General features: G+C 40.5%; 1 pseudogene; it reads right to left on the reverse strand.

Moving 5' to 3' along the window:
* GSTM5P1 (glutathione S-transferase mu 5 pseudogene 1) lies at positions 216–1,322 on the reverse strand (annotated as a pseudogene).

The raw sequence follows: 17,624 nt of genomic DNA on the forward strand, positions 1-17,624 counted from the left end.
CGAATTTGTGTTGGGCCACATTCAAAGCCATTCTGGGCCACATGCAGCCTGTGGGCCATGGGTTGGACAAGCTTGCTCTACAGGAAGCATGGCTGGGGAGGCGTTAGAAAATTTACAATCATGGCAGAAGGTGAAGGGGAAACAGCACGTCTTCACATGGCCAGGGCAGGAGGAAGAGAGTGAAGGGGGAGGTACTACATACTTTTTTTTTTTTTCATGGTTCAGGCTTTACTGGGCATCACACAGGGCTGGAGTAGGGACCCAGCAAAGGGAGCAGGGCCCGCAGATGGTCTTTGAGGACAGTGCTGGGGAGCTCAGGGATCAGTCCAGCTTCTCAAAGAAGAGATAAGCACTGATAGGGAAAGCAGTCAGGTTGGTGTTAGTGCAGGAAAAGGGAGATGTTAGGAGGGGGACTTTGATGGAGGAGAGTGGGGAGCTGAAGCTTTAAAGATCCTCGATGTGGGGAGGGATCATGTTAGAAGAAAGGAAGCCAATGAGGCCTTGGGGAAAAGAAGAGAGTGGAAACAAGGAAAAAGGAAGAAGTCTGGTTCAGGGAGTCGGGCTGTTCTCCAGTGTTCTCCAGGCTCCCAGGCAGCAGGGTCGGCTCCTCCCTCCCATCTTCTGGCATCACGGGGCCCTATTTACTGTTCCACATAGCTGACTTCCCAAACAAAGGACCTTGGAGGCATTGGCTGGACTTCATGTAGGCAGAGATCTTCTTCAAACCCTCAATTCAGGACATGAAGTCCTTCAGGTTTGGGAAGGCGTCCAGGCAGCTGGGGTCAAATATACAGTTCAGGTCAAGGATGTCATAGGCAAGGAAATCCACATAGGTGATCTTGTCTCATGCGAACCATGGCCACTTCCCCAGAAACTGTGAGTAGAGCTTTAGCTTTTCAGGGAGTTCCTCCAGGTACTTTGGCTTCAGTTTCTCAAATTCTGGGATGTAGCAGATCATGGCCAGCTGCATCAGGTTGTCCATGGTCTGGTTCTCCGAAATGTCCACACGAATCTTCTCCTCTTCTGTCTCCTCACACAGGCTGTGCTTGCAGGAAATGTGGCGCAGGATGGCGTTGCTCTGGGTGATCTTGTGAGCCCCATCAAACAAGTAGGGCAGATTGGGAAAGTCCAGGCCCAGCTTGAATTTTTAATTCAGCTACTAGCTTCTGTCATAGTCAGGAGAGTCCCCCATTGTGTACTTCTTTTCCTCGTAGCTTGAGTCTGTGTATTCAAGGAGCAGGTGGATGGCATGTGCCAGCCCGTGGATGTCCCCGTACCCCAGTGTGATGGGCATGGTGCTGGTTGGTGCAGATTCTGCAGACCGGTGCTACACACTTTTAAACAACCAGATCTCGTGAGAACTCACTCACTATCACGAGAACAGCAAGGGGGAAATCCGCCCCCATGATCAATCATCTCCTGCCAGTCCCCTCTGCCAACACTGGGGATTACAATTCAACGTGAGATTTGGGCAGGGACACAAATCCAAATCATATCAATGTACAAATGAGATCATACAATGTTTGTCCTTCTGTGCCTAGCTTATTTCACTCAGCATAATGTCCTCCAGGTTCATCCATGTTGTTCCAAATGGCAGGGTTTCCTTGCTTTTTATGGCTGAATAACTTTCCATTGTATGTATGTATGTATGTACCACATCTGTGAGACTGGCTATTATCAAAAAGACAAGAGATAACAAGTATTGGCAAAGGGGTGGAGAAAAGGGAACCATTGTACACTGTTGGTGGCAATGGAAATTGGTATACCCATTATGGAAAATAGTATTATGATTCCTTAAAAAATTAAAAATGGAACTACTGTGTGATCCAGCCATCCCACTGCTGGGTACATATACAACAGAATGAAATTAGTAGGTTGAAGTCCTATCTGCACTCTCATGTTCATTGCAGCATCAGTCATAATAGCCAAGATATGGAGCCAAGACTGACCTAAGTGTCTGTCTGTGGAGGAATAGATAAAGAAAATGTGGTACAAACAACTTACTCTTTGCACCTTGAAGAACATCTAGACTTAGGACAGACAACTTTCCTATCATAACTTTTTAACAGAAACTAGTAATATATGGGATCTGTATTTTTTTCAGTACAGATAAGCTATGTTGTTCACCTTAGGCTTACAGGATGGGATGTGTAGACAAGCTTTTAGAAGCTGTTTTCTTTCATCTTAGTCAACATGCTTGCAGTTTAGGTACTTGCCCACAGATTAGAGGGGACTTTTATGGTTTTATAGGACAATCAGCTAAATTTTCCTAGCCAGTGTGGAGAACTGAAGCAGGGACAGCCCACAGCCTAGTCAGCTATGTTTTGGTTTTTGGTGTTCGGTTTTTTGACACAGAGTTTCACTCTCTTTGCCCAGGCTGGAGTGCACTGGCGCGATCTCGGCCCATTGCAGCCTCCACCTCCCGGGTTCAAGCTATTCTCCTGCCTCAGCCTCCTAAGTAGCTGGGATTACAGGTGCCCGCTCCCACACCTGACTAATTATTTTCATATTTTTAGTAGAGATGGGGTGTCACCATGTTGGGCAGGCTGTTCTCAAACTCCTGGCCTCAAGTGATCCACCCACCTCAGCCTCCCAAAGTGCTAGGATTACAGGCATGAGCCACCACGCCCGGCCGTTTTTTATTATTTTTAATAATAGCTCAAGTATATCCAGTAATTCTACTTCTAGGTGTTTAGCCAAGAGAAATACAAACATGTCCATGTAAAAACTTGTACCTGAATGTGCCTACCAATCTTATTCACAGAAGCCAAAAAGTGGACACAACCCAAATGTCCAGCAATGGATGTATCAGCAAGCACAATGTGGTCTATCCATACAATAAAATATTACCCAGCAATAAAAAAGAATGAAATACTAAAACATATTACAACATGGATGAGCCTCAAAAACATTGTGCTAAGTGAGAGAAGCCAGTCGCAAAACACCACATACTGTATGATTCCTTTGGTGTGAGATGTCCAGAATAGGCAAATCTGTAGAGAGAGAAAGTAGATTCGTGGTAGCCATGGGCTGGGGGAGGCAAGGAGGGGAGGGAAAAGGGGAATGACTGTTAATGGGTATGGGGTTTCTTTTTGGGGTGATGAAAATGTTTTAAAATAGATCCTGGTGGTGCTTGCACAGTTCTGAATATACTGAAAGCCACAGAATTGCACACTTTAAACAGGTGCATTATATAACATGTGCATTGTGTCTCAGTAAAGCTGATGTTTAAAAAATAGCTCAATCATAATTCCTCACTCAGGTGTGGGTTAGGAATATCACTTCCTTTCAAAGAGTACAGTATGGAAAGGGGGGGAAAATAATAATAACTTTATCATGGAGAAAGCTGACAAACACCCCCTCAGCCAGGTGGTCAAGGTTGACATGATGTGATGAGGACAGTGCTTAACTCTGTGGTCTCCCTCCCGCAAACCCACAACCCCAGTCGAACCGTGAGAGACACCAGACAAACCCCAACTGAAGGACTTTCTATAACATACCCAACCAGTCCTCTGCAAAACTGTCAAGGTCGTCAAGAACCAAGAAAGCCTAAGAAACTCACAACCAAGAGGAGTCCAAGGCGACAGGATGGCTAAGTGAAACGCGGCACCCTGGATGGGATCCTGGGACAGAAACAGGACGCGAGGGAAATACTGGGGACATCTGAATGAAACATGGGCTCTAATAATAATCTATGACAACATGGGCCCATTAATTGTGGCAAACGTATCATACGAATGTGAAATATTAATAACGGGAAACTGGGATTTGCCTAACTTCTTTGTGTCTCTTTCCTCGTCTCCGAAGTAGGGGTATTAATGGTACCCACATCAGTGGTTTGTGGGGTGTAAGTGATTTAAGCCATTATATAATGTTGAACAGTGCCTGACAGTAAGCGCTCAATACATGTTAGCTACCATTCCTATAGTTATTCATCATTTCAGACATTTTGTTTTAAAATGAGAGACGTTAAGAAAAAATCTACTTAGTGCAACCATAAAGCTGACTGTTTTAAAAGAGGTTCAGAAGTGCTGCCCTTGCCTGATGTTTATTAAGTAAACACTTTTTTCAGAGGGAGGTGATAGAGAATTGAATACATAGGTACCTTTTTCTCTTAAGCCATCTACTTTTAAGATAAAGTTGGAAGGAAGTGGAATAAAGTATGTACACCCAAGGGCTAAAATGTAAAGGGAATACTTTATATACTGCATAAGGGAGGAGAAATAGCAAGGAAACTGTAAATAGTTAGTCCCCAAATTAAAAACACCCAGCTCGGCCGGGCACGGTGGCTCACGCCTATAATCCCAGCACTTTGGGAGGCCGAGGCGGGCAGATCACGAGGTCAGGAGATCGAGACCATCCTGGTTAACACGGTGAAACGCCGTCTCTACTAAAAATACAAAAAAATTAGCCGGGCGTGGTGGCGGGAGCCTGTAGTCCCAGCTACTCGGGAGGCTGAGGCAGGAGAATGGCGTGAACCTGCGAGGCGGAGCTTGCAGTGAGCCGAGATCATGCCACTGCCCTCCAGCCTGGGTGACACAGCTAGACTCCGTCTCAAAAAAAAAAAAAAAAAAACACCCAGCTCACAAATATCGCACATGTATATATACACACACAAATATTATGAATATAGTCAATTACAAAATACACAGTGCCTGGTTAAATTTGAATTGCAGATAAACAGCAAGTACTTTTTTTAGTATAAATTTGTCTCAAATATGGCATGGGATGTACACTAAACAATGATTTGTTTATCCAAAATTCAAATTTAACTAGGCATCCTGTATTTTTATTTGCTAAAGTTGGCAACCCTGCTGAAAGAGCATTATGCATTTCAGGTGTCGTGCGGTGGCTCAGGCCTATAATCCCAACACTTTGGGAGGCCGAGGCAGGCAGATCATTTGAGGTCAGGAGTTCGAGGCCAACCTGGCCAGCATGGCAAAACCCCATCTCTACTAAAAATACAAAAATTAGCTGGGCATGGTGGTGGGCAGCTGTAATCCCAGCTACTGAGGAACCTGAGTTACGAGAATCACTTGAACCCAGGAGGCAGAGGCTGCAGTGAGCCGAGATTGTGCCACTGCACTCTAGCCTGGGACAGAGTGAGACTCCGTCTCAAACAAAAATACAAATGATCATTATGCATTTCAATGTTTATTATGTTTTCTTTCTAAGATAATCATGAGGCAGGGCGTGGTGGCTCACACCTGTAATCCCAGCACTTTGAGACGCCAAGGAGGGCGGATGGCTTAAGTCCAGGAGTTCACGACCAGCCTGGGCAACATGGTGAAACCTCATCTCTACAAAAAATACAAAATAAATAAATAAATAAAATACAAAAATTAGCCGTGTGTGGTGGCACATACCTGAAGTCCCAGCTACTTGGGAAGCTGAGGTGGGAGGATCACCTGAACCCGGGAGGCAGAGGCTGCAGTGAGCCACTGCACTCCAGCTTGGGTGACAGAGTGAGACCTTGCCTCAAAAAAAAAAAGATAATCATAAGAAACTTAGAAAACTGATCAGAAGTCCCTCTGAATGTCTCATGCATTTGCTAAGCAGTAATTCTGTAAGCTGCAGTGATGCTGCTGTGTTTCCGTCAAAGGTCACCAACTTGTTGGAAAAAAAATTAGAAGTTGCAACAATGATATCTTTAAAGAAATTAATTTATCAAATCACCTTTTCTATTTAAATTCAAGAATAAAAATGTTTTCTATTATAGTTTCGAGGTTTCAGTGAGAAAAAAGGAGAAAATGTTAGTGAATGAAAGAGAAGCAGAGAAGAACAGCAGATGTGGAGATGCAGGGAGGCATGAGACAGAGACAGAGAAAGGCAGACGGGAATGAGTGGGGAGCGAACAGAGGAGAGAGAAGGACAAAGGCAGCCAGGCACAGGAGGCTCTGGGGTGAACTGCTGTGCAGAGGCTGTGGTCTCAACAAGCCGAGAGAGCACATCGGAGCAGTTGGGGTGCACTGGTCCTCAGAGCCAGGTCAATGTCACCCTAAGGACTAGAAGAAATCAAGCTGAGGGTTAGATGTAGGGTATCCTACCTACCCTGCTGCTAAAGAACCTTTTGCTTTAAGCTGAAATGAGAATATTAGAAATGAAGAAAGGAAGGAGTGAGGGAGGGAAAAGGGGAAAAGGAAGGCAGGAAGAAAGTGTCCAGCTTTCTCTTTAGTTATGTGTAACAATTTATCTAACTCAACGGGAGAGACTTTAAAAAATAACAGTCTTTTTTTAATGTGCCTTCCAGCTTTCTTTATTTTATTTTTAATTTTTGTGGGTACACAGTAGGTGCATATATTTATGGCACACATGAGATGTTTGATACAGGCATGGCCCTGTGACATAAAAACATCATGGAGAATGGGGTAACCATCTCCTCCAGCACTACAATGGACCGTCTTGAGTTTGGCTTGGGAATTAAACAAATTCTCTCTCTCTCTCTCTCTCTCTCTCTCTCTCTCTCTCTCACACACACACCCCATGATTAGACTCTACATGTTTGACCCTGACTCAGTTCTGTTTCCTTTCCCAGCATCCTTGAACTTGGCAAAGTGGCAAAGGTGGGGAAGAGCTGAGTCACCAAAGATAAAGTATAATTCAAGTAACCCATCAGTAAATCATAAAGATTTAGTTGTATGTTAAATTGTTACTAGGCCCAAAGAGTCAGACTTTGAGAAAAGATTTTGAGCTGTTATACTTTGGATCATTCAGAAAATGAAAAATGGTAGTATTTTACTCAGGAAATTTCATTTCTACTATGTGAGTCTTTTTAAAGCACATGGATGTGGAAATTTTAAAGGAAAACGTCCTTATATATCATTGAAATGAAATATAAGTGTGCTTCTTGTTAAGGTGTGCACATATCAAAAGTCTTTGTTGTATAGGCCCTCGTTCTCTGAGGAGAAAATGCCTAATATTAACAAATAAGGATGGTGAGAATAGTATTTGGGGTTGTTTAATTTAGAAAGAAGGCTGGATAATAGCCAACAGATTTCTTGGCTTTAAATAAGGCCCTGGTGACATGTTTCATTTTGATTTCTGAGATTAATTAATTATGGGAAAAATCTTAGAATTTATTTAAAGGGTCACATGGGAAAAGTCATGCAGCAGGAGAGAGGTTTGGTCTGAGATGGAGGAGGAGTTCCAAGATAGGATGACTGGCATATGGAAAATTACTGAGAAACAAATAATGGCTAATGTTCATGTTTTCCAAATTAGAAGGGAGAAATTATTTTTGATACCACTGTAGAGACTGTTAGAACCTTTACACAATTTTGTGGGGCGGGGGGCGGGGGAAGAACTTGGTGTACGCAGAATGGGAAACTTTCCAAATTATCCAGTGTTGTATCTCTAGTATCTAGCACAATGCTTGAGATATAGATTTTCTACTGAAATGTTGGATCACACAATCCATTTTTTGCATATGGATTGTGGGATCCAACATTTAAGTAGAAGGGAGTGAATTCAAGAGCAGTTGCACATTCTGATAAATGGAGAAACTGTAAGATTAAAAAGAAGATTCAGGCTGGGTGTGGTGGCTCATGCCTGTAATCCTAGCACTTTGGGAGGCAGAGGTGGGCGGATCACCTGAGGTCAGGGGTTCAAGACCAGCCTGGCCAACATGGAGAAACCCCATCTCTACTAAAAAAAAAAAAAATACAAAAATTAGCTGGGCCTGGTGCTGTGTGCCTGTAATCCCATAATCCCAGCTACTTGGGAGGCTGAGGCAGGAGAATTGCTTGAACCCGGGAGGCGGAGGTTGCAGTGAGCTGAGATCAAGCCATTGCACTCCAGCCTGAGCAACAGAGTGAGACTCCGTCTCAAAAAAAAAAAAAAGAAGAAGAAGGTTCATTGAAGAAAGAAATACAGACCATTTTATTAGACTGGAACTGGCTTCAGCAATTTGGGTTCTTTAAGCATCTGCTAAGGTTACTGCAAAAAGGCCTGAGTGTAGCCAAAGCATCAGATTTTAAAGGAACATACAACGCATCTGTTGAAATTGAAGACGCAAAGGTGAAGATTTATTTTTGGTCTCTTTTCTATCTATGTCTGACAATAGTTTCACATAGTATGCTTTTCAATTTCTTTTTTTTGGTAAACTGTAGAGTATCTGGGGGGAGTCTTTCTGCTATAGAATATAATCCCCAGAAACAAACACAGTGGGGAAAAAATAAAAAGAAAAAAACATAAGCAAAAGATTCCATCTAGAGAGCTCAATTTTAGCTTGTTCTGTCTTCGATCCACTTTCCTCATTGATCTAAGGTCTTCTGCAAAGATAATAAAATTAAATGGCAAAGTCGCATGTGCCATCACATACTCATGCTTCTATTCTCTACTTCCCCATTTAACTCGTGTCTCTCATCTCCCCTGTCAGAATTCTTTCACAGCTTCTGATTATTTTTTAAAAGCCATGTTAACAGTTTGTTCCACATATTAACTACTTTTGCTGGAAAGAAATCTTTAGCCATGATTTAATTCTTCTTTTTTTTTTCACCAAGTGCTCCTTGCCTAATCTGCCTGCAACTCCAGATTTTGCAGCTTTCCACACACATTGCTTCACATTTTTCTCTGAAAAAGATGACTTTTTTAGCATTGCCATTATGTAAATGTTACTCTTCTTACAGAAAATTCTGCTGAAGCTAAATTCCTCCCCACCAAGCACATCAGTTTAGGTAAACAAATCCTTAAATACACCATGTTCTTTCTCTGTTTGGTACAAGTAATCATCTGAAAAAAAAATTAATCAAGTGATTCTCAAAACTCACAAAGTAAATAGCCAGAGTTTAATTCAATACCATCAAGTTTTCAGTTATAGCGCTCGCTCATACTCTGCAATGCCTTCTCTTCCTCTTAAAACTGCTCAGTGGAGTCCAACTCTGGAAAGTAATAGTTACTTCTTAATAATAGTTACTGTCCCACAAATTCTATCATATTCATTCCAAGAATAAAACTTTCACTTTTCTGCATAGGAGTAAGTGGAAAATGGACTTTCATTCCTTTTCCCAATTTAGGATGAATATTTATTCAGTAGCTACGTTGTTTTGGCGCCGTGTCGGGATACAGGTGCAGTTCCTTTCTAGATTTCACATTGTCTGGAATGTTCCATGTGTTGATCCAAAATATACTTTATGTTCCGCAAATGAGAGGAAGAGCTTGGAGGCCTGGATTCTTTTACCACAGTAGTTTTTAAACAATTATTTGAAACAATTCAGTGTTTTGCATATTTTATTTACATTTTCATGACCCATGAGATACTTTTCCCCATATTTGACTTTTACTATTTTGATAACTACTAATGTAATATATAAATCTCTGAAAAATGCAGAAAATAGCAAGAAAAGAAAAATCACCAGTACTCTGTCCCCCAGAGATAAGACCTTTTTAATGATTCAGAGTAATCTGTCTTCGAGTTTTTAGTCAATTTTAACTTTTTTGAAAGTTAGTTTTGCAACCTGCTTTTTAAATAATATTTTGCACGTCCTCCATTTTCAACTGCCTAGGGTGGGCAAACAATTTTGTTAGCTACTGTTTCTCATCAAAAATAGTCCAGGATTTGATTATGTGAACTTGTGGGGATGGGGGACATTCCAGGAACAGAAATATCAGTTGTGGCATAGAGGAGAGAAGAGGATCCAAGAGAGGCAGTCTGACAACCGGTGCACATTGACAGTCCCCCAAATCCATAGCACAGAGCTCAAATTGCTTTGGGTTTGTGCAGATTTTTTAAGTTACATAAATAAATTTCACCCTATTCGTCCTTATAAATCCTTTCCAGTTTTTTTTTTTTTCAGTCTGAATGGTTAATTATTGGCTTGTAAGTGTTCAGAGAAGTATTAGGGTATACAAAATATTCACTGGTATTAGTGTTTTAGATTTCAATAATCAGCAATAATTCTTAAATATTTTCCAAATATCTTTTTGGTTGGAATAAAATCATGGCACGTAAATTTTTTCCCTCAAAATATACTAACTCAATAATAGTGATCAAGGCCTGAGATATTATAAAAGTATTGTTCTTTTACATATGATGCATTTAGGATCCTGAAGCTATTATATTTCAATGCTTACTTAGTCATTTCCAAAGATAAGCATTCACTTTGTCTCAAAATGAAACAAACATGAAGTCTTAATTAAGATTTAAATTGGGTGAGGTATTACAGTTTGTTATTTTTTTTCTAACACACAGGACTCATTTTGGATGAGTTTTTAACTAACATATTTATGACTTCCATTGGGATACAAAATAGTATGTTTTTGTTTTTCTTTGGTTTTGTTTTTAACAATCAATTCCCTGCACTAATGGTCTGGGTGAATTCAACCTGGAAATGTCCTTCATATTTTTCAGTTAAATTGATCAAAATGACATGTTGCTCTTTGCTGTTTGTTTGTTTTTTGGCCACTGCACATTAGCTAATTCTTTAGGAATTTTTTTTCGCAAGGATCTAGTAAAAGAGAGAAGGGAACATTTGTTGTTAAATATAACAGAATAAATTATAATTGTATGTTTGTAGGTAACTTGTAGATATGTACTGCAATTTCCTAATAAATATTACTTCATTTCTCAGGCAATTCACTATAGAAATTATGCACTCTCCCACAATACAAAAAAACTAATGTCACAAAGGTGAATTCTAAGATACATATTGACAATAAAGAGCCGTAAGCACACGGTGGGCAAAAGTCCTAGCAAACTTGAAAAATATTTAACTGAACAATAATGGAGCAATGCCAGATGCTAAAAGTCACCAAAGATAATTTTAATTGTTGTAGATATAATGGTGTTCAATGACAGCTGTTTTGGAACAAAAAGGTTATTTCCTGAAAATTTCAGTAAGTTTTCTCCTAAAATAAACTCTCATTGATTGTTAAAATTACCAATTGTCCTTAATGGCAAATAGACACTAAAGTTGGCTAATAACTTTAAATATGGAGTCATTCCTACATGTTGATTTGTAAACACTATCTGGAGGAAAAATTAAAAAGACATAATGTAGCTGAGGGTTATTTCTCCCTATGGAGATATCACAGGACTCTTATGTAAGAGAAGTCGTTGAAAAAAATATCTAAAGCAAAAACTACTTACGGACCGAATGTTGCAACTTTCCCACTATGCACAGCTTCCTCTCTCCTTTCCCCTCTCTTTTTTTGGAAATGACAAGAATAAGCTTTTTTAAAAACTAAATTTTGTGAAATTATAAATTTAAAAAATTAATTATTTAACAGAAGAGATGTCACATTAGTAAATAAAGGTGTATTTTGTGTGCTGGCCTAGTAGTACTAGAATAAAAACTGCTTTAGATGTTGTGTTTATTTATACATTACAAGCCTATTTTTAAGTTTGTTTGACCCAAGGTTATAATTGTATATGTTACACTTAAGTAAAAGTAATGTGGGGAAACCTAAAGATAAAGAAGGCAGAGTTTCTGTTCTCAAGCCAAGACACATCCTCATTCCATTCATTATTAATTCCTTTTATTTCATTTTTCTCTAATTAAGAAAACTAATATATATTCATTATTTTTAAAATTGGAAAGTTCAGAAAAAGATAAAGAATAAAGAATCACTTGAATATGCACCATCACCCGGAGATAACCACTGTTAAAACATAAACTTATGGCTTTCCTCCATACATGTGCATGTACAAATATATCTTTTTTTTTTTTTTTTTTGAGACGGAGTCTCGCTCTGTTGCCCGGGCTGGAGTGCAGTAGTGTGATCTCAGCTCACTGCAAACTCTGCCTCCCGGGTTCAAGTGATTCTCCTACCTCAGCCTCTCGAGTAGCTGGGACTACAGGCATGCACCACCATGCCCAGCTAATTTTTGTATTTTTAGTAGAGATGGGGTTTCACCATGTTGGCCAGGATGGTCTCAATCTCTTGACCTCATGATCCACCTGCCTCGGCTTTGGCTCACTGCGACTTCTGCCTCCCACGTTCAAGTGATTGTACTGCCTCAGCCTCCCGAGTAGCTGGGATTACAGTCATGAGCCACCATGCCCTGTTAATTTTTTTTGTATTTTTAGTAGAGACGGGGTTTCTCCATGTTGGTCAGGCTGGTCTCAAACTCCCGACCTCAGGTGATCTGCCCGCCTCAGCCTCCTAAAGTGCTGGGATTACAGGCTTGAGCCACTGCACCTCGCCAAATATATCTTTAAACAAGAAGTAGATAGTGGGGTTTTTTTGTTTTTGTTTTTTGTTTTGTTTTGTTTTTAGATTTTAGTTATCAGTTTAACAATGATCAGAAAAGAACTGACTTTCTTTTCTTTTCTTTTCTTTTTTTTTTTTTTTTGAGACAGAGTTGCTCTGTCGCCTGGGCTGGAGTGCAATGGCACCATTTCGGCTCACTGCAACCTCTACCTGCCAGGTTCAAGTGATTCTCCTGCCTCAGCCTCCTGAGTACCTGGGATTACAGGCGCCTGCCACTACGCCTGGCTAATTTTTGTATTTTTAGTAAAGACGGGGTTTCACCATGTTGGTCAGGTTGGTCTCGAACTCCTGACCTCAGGTGATACACCTGTCTTGGCCTCCTAAAGTGCTGGGATTACAGGCGTGAACCACTGCACCCAGCCAGAACTCACATTTTTCAAAGAACTCCCATTGTCCTTAGGTACCACAAGAATTCCCATTTTCCTGAGATATTTAAGAATCTTTTTCTTTTATTTCATTCTAGTCCTGCCTTGTGGGATCCATAGCATTCAATCATATATGCTAACTAGGTAGCATTCCAGTATTTTCCACTTAAGTATCCCTTTTAAGATGCTTGGTTTTAAGCAAAACATTTATGTAAGGGCTTTTATATGTCAAAATAATGTATTAATATTAAATCTATGTTTTTAAAAGATTAAAGTGGAGAAAATTTCCATGAGGCTAAGTCTACTCAAACAAGTAATTCAACATGGAATTCAACATGGAATTCAACATGGAATTCAACATGGAATTAATCACTAGTGTCTGCCAATCAAATGTTTTAGAGTTTAGTAGTTTTTGTTTCACTCTCATGTGTGGGATACATTCTAATGTTTTAGTACATTTATTAATTTATTCTATAGTAATACTACACTGACTTTAAAAAGAGTACATCTATATGTTCTGACATGAATAGACCTTCTTAAGGAAAAAGTTTGCAGAAAAAATGTATTTTGAACAATTTATGCTGAACAATAATAAAAGTACATATGTTAAATTACATATGTGTAGAAGTATACATATTTGCTTCTGTTTGTGTGGAAATGCATAGAAAAGAGACTAGCAAGAAACACCTCAATTTGGGAAGGGAAGTGGAAGTGGGGAAGTTGTGAGGGGGAACCTGAACAATTTATTCTAGAGATTTCTATATTCCTTTCTGCAAGAATATATTCATGCATTACTGATATCATTGCTTTTAAATGAAAGAAATAAACATTCTTTTACTACTTATATTGGTGCTTCACTACTATGAATAGTGGTCCCCATCTCTAAGAAAGTTGAGTGCTCCCAGAAAAGATGTCTGCTTTGCACTTTGCACTTTCCCCACAGCCCTAGCATTAGTGCCTTGGCTCAGTAGGTCCCCAGTAGCGCATGTCTTTCTTGAACCTTTAAAATAATTACCTAGAGTGTGATTTAGGAGCCACTGCTCCACAGACCAGCAAAGCCATTATCTTGTAGAGGAATCTACAAAGAGCTCTGGGTATGAATTTCATTGTAAGTCCTTATAATAAAGTTACAAACAAAAACTGGGATTAATTTTCTTTCCTAGTATGTTATTAGAAGTTCAGTTTAAATAAAGTTTAACCACACTTGGCACATAGTTTTCAAAAATAAGATCGGGAGAACAGGAACTAGTAACTTCTAGTTCTGCTGCAGGACCGGCCAAGAGCTCTGCAATGGGCATCATTTTTTTCTATTAAAAAAAAAAAAAAAAGAGGTCTCGGTGCTCTACTGAGAACAGCAACCGATGGAAAGAAAGAAGGTATTGGATTTTACAGTGTGAACACAGGAAGGAAAAGTGTACGTGGAGCCCCTCCCCCAGCTGCTACCATTTGCCCTGAACCTAGATATAGGTAGGGCCTGGTTGGATGTGGCAAATGTAGTTCCGGATTGTGGTTACACAAGAAATTCAGTCTACTTCATTATGAATGATGTTCATTGTATTAATGAATTCCTAAATGAGAAAAGGTGAGATGGACATTTTTTGCAGGTGATTTCTTTCCTAAAACACACTTAAGCAGTACCAAACAGCTTCAGTTGTTTACACCGGCAGGTTTTTTTTCAGATCTCTTGTGATCCAGCCCCAGAAGTGGAAGTATGGCTAGACAGGCATCAGTCCCTTCATTCTGAAGACTTTTTCTTTTTTCCCTGGCTATCTTTCCTTATCATGGGCAAGCCTCTGTCATCTTATTTCTTTTTTTTTTTTTGGAGACGGAGTCTCGCTCTGTCGCCCAGGCTGGAGTGCGGTGGCGCAATCTCGGCTCACTGCAAGCTCTGCCTCCCAGGTACACGCCGTTCTCCTGCCTCAGCCTCCCGAGTAGCTGGGACTACAGGCGCCCGCCACCATGACCGGCTAATTTTTTGTATTTTTAGTCAAGATGGGGTTTCACTGTGTTAGCCAGGATGGTCTCGATCTCCTGACCTCGTGATCTGCCCGCCTCGGCCTCCCAAAGTGCTTGGATTGTAATCATGCGCCACCGCGCCCGGCCTCCACTGACAAAGTTTCTAAAGAGCAGGGGACACTCACTCACTCTCTGTGCTTTCTCACCACTGTCGGTAACCAGCACATGACTGAGAGCCGGACTCACAAGTTAGGCTAAGCTGAGTCACAATCAGCGCTGTTGCAAACTAGTTGTACGACTCTGGTCAGGATCTTCTGTGCCTCAATTTACTCATCTGTAATCTAAGAATGATAATATTAATATTAATAATGCCTTCCCTCAAAGGACCATAGTGAAAATTAAATAGCACAGCAGTTTACAGTGCCTGGTACATTCACAGTAGGTGCTTAATAAATGTTTCTGACTGGCGTGGCTTCTGCTGCTGCCTTGGTTCTCGTCAAAGTTCCCAGGCCTTTCTTCTTGGACTTCTCTGTGCAGTATGACAGTGTTGTCTGCTCTTTTCCTTTGACCTTCATCCTCCCAGGTCGTTCTCATTTTTCTTTTTTCTGCCCTTCTAGCTGATCCTTCTCAGATTCCACTACCCCTTAAAAGCTCATGTTCCCCACAGAGGCCACCCCAGCTTGCCCTTCCTGGAGATCTCTTTCCCATCAATGGCTTCCATCGCTAGGCAGACAATGATGTCCCCACATTGCATGTCCATCCCAGACCCCTTCCCGAAGTAACAAGCATGGATAACCATGGTCTGTGGACATCTTCACCTGGCTCTTCCCCACAAACACCAAAAACTTCACATGTCTCAAATTGAGCCCAATTGCTCACATCGGAAACCTGAGGTCAACTTAGGCTGTCTAGTGCAAATGATTTTGTTTGTTTGTTTGTTTGTTTGTTTTTTAAAAGGCCTTGGACTCTACCTTCTAGGTTGTTTAAAAAAAAAAAAAAAAAAGAGTCTCACTCTGTTGCCCAGGCTGGAGTGCAGTGGTGTGATCACAGCTCACTGCAGCCTCAACCACTAGGGCTCAAGTGATCCTCCTGCCTCAGTCTCCCAAGTAGCTGGGACTACAGGTGCATACCACAACACCCAGCTAACTTTTTAAATTTTTTGTAGAGACAAGGTCTCACTATGTTGTTGTGGCTGGTCTCGAACTCCTGGGCTCAAGCCATTCTCTTGCTTCCCAAAGTGTTGGGATTACAGGCGTGATCCACCACCCTTGGACCCCAAGTATTTCTGTATGGCTACATCCCACTCATCCTTCAAGATTAACCTCAGGTATTTCTTATTTGGGAAGCCTTCCCATTAAGCAACCTGGGTTAGGTTTCTCCCCTTCCTATGTACCTCTATGGCACCACATTATTGCCATGTTTATTGCACTTTCTGCATTGTAATCTTTTTTTTTTTTAACTTTTCTGCCTCCTCTACTGGACTATGAGCTCCCTAAAAGCAGGGTCTTTTGTCTTTCACCCTAACACAGTGCAGGGCAAAGAGGATGTGCTTAATGAGGATTTGAAAGTGAACCTGTACTTAGCTCACCCTTCAAGCTTGATTAACTCCACTGCTATCTCAGGCATACTGATGTCAGCCTAGAATTTAGCAAGATGAGGGACAGATAGTTCAATAACATTCTAAAGAATTTACAAAATAGTAAATCTGTTCCTACATCATTAAGAGTTAACTGTGTACTGGAGTTCGAGGGAGATTGCCAAGTCAATAAATTGCTTGCTGTTTACTGAATACCAACTGTTTCCCCACATGCTGAATATGTTTACTATTTCCATTGCTTGCATTTCTTACTGACAGTAATTGGAATTAAACTTTTTTTTTTCGTGAGAAGGAAGAGATTCTTTTGGTAAGATATCATCTTAAATGATGGCTCTCAAATACTTGAAAATGCAATTTTTCTCTGTCTTAGAGTGTGGGATTTAGACTCTAATTTGCATGATAAAGAACAACATTAAAAAAAAACTAGCCTTATATTTTGAGCTCTAACAAAATTTTTCAGTTTACTCATTCTGACCTTCCCATTACAGCAGTGGTTCTCAAATTTTAACGTATGGTGGTTCTCAAATTTTAACGTATGTGAAAAGCCCTTGAGTCAAAGAACAAGAGATGGAATTGGGAATGAAAATATCATGGCTTTTTTGGAAAACTTTTAGTTGTTTACAAGGAAAAAATTGTTTACGAAAATTTATGTAGTTAAAATTAAAACTTAGGCCAAGCATGGTGGCTCACACCTGTAATCCCAGCACTTTGGGAGGCTGAGGAGGGTGGATCACCTGAGGTCAGGAGTTCGAGACCAGCCTGGCCAACATGGTGAAACCCCATCTCTACTAAAAATACAAAAATTAGCCAGGTATGGTGGTGGGCACCTGTAATCCCAGCTACTAGGGAGGCTGAGGCAGGAGAATCGCTTGAACCTTGGAAGGCAGATGCTGCAGTGAGCCGAGATCATGCCACTGCACTCCAGCCTGAGCAAAAGGGCAAGACTCCGTCTCAAAAGAAAAAAAAAAATCGTAAACTATCACCCTGATGCATCTTAAATTTCAGATTCATGGACTCAACTAGGTAGTTCTAATTAGTCCAGGAATCCTAGATCCCACCTTTCTGGGATTAGAAACAAACAAATAAACAAAATAATAACAATAACAAAACACTAAGTGTTTGACATGGATATGAGAACCGCTGATTATTGATTTTTTCTTTTTCTTTTTCGAGACGGAGTCTCGCTCTGTCACCCAGGCTGGAGTGCAGTGGTGAAATCTCGGTTCACTGCAAGCTCTGCCTCCCAGGTTCATGCCATTTTCCGGCTGATTATTGCTTTTTAAGTGGAAACACTTTTAAGTGATCTTGAAAGTTATCAGTTTAAGAACTGATACTTCTCTCATAAACAAATTGACAAAGTAGCAAAAAATTGCTGAAAAAAATTATCAGTTTAAAACACTACAAATAGTTAACATTGAAAGTTTTTAGTTTGCCAGAATTCTTAGATTTATCTTAGAAATAGTCCAAATTATATCAGTTTTTTGTTTGTTTGTTTG

This window comes from Homo sapiens, chromosome 3, assembly GCF_000001405.40.
Source record: "Homo sapiens chromosome 3, GRCh38.p14 Primary Assembly".
In the NCBI taxonomy this organism is placed as follows: Eukaryota; Metazoa; Chordata; class Mammalia; order Primates; family Hominidae; genus Homo; species Homo sapiens.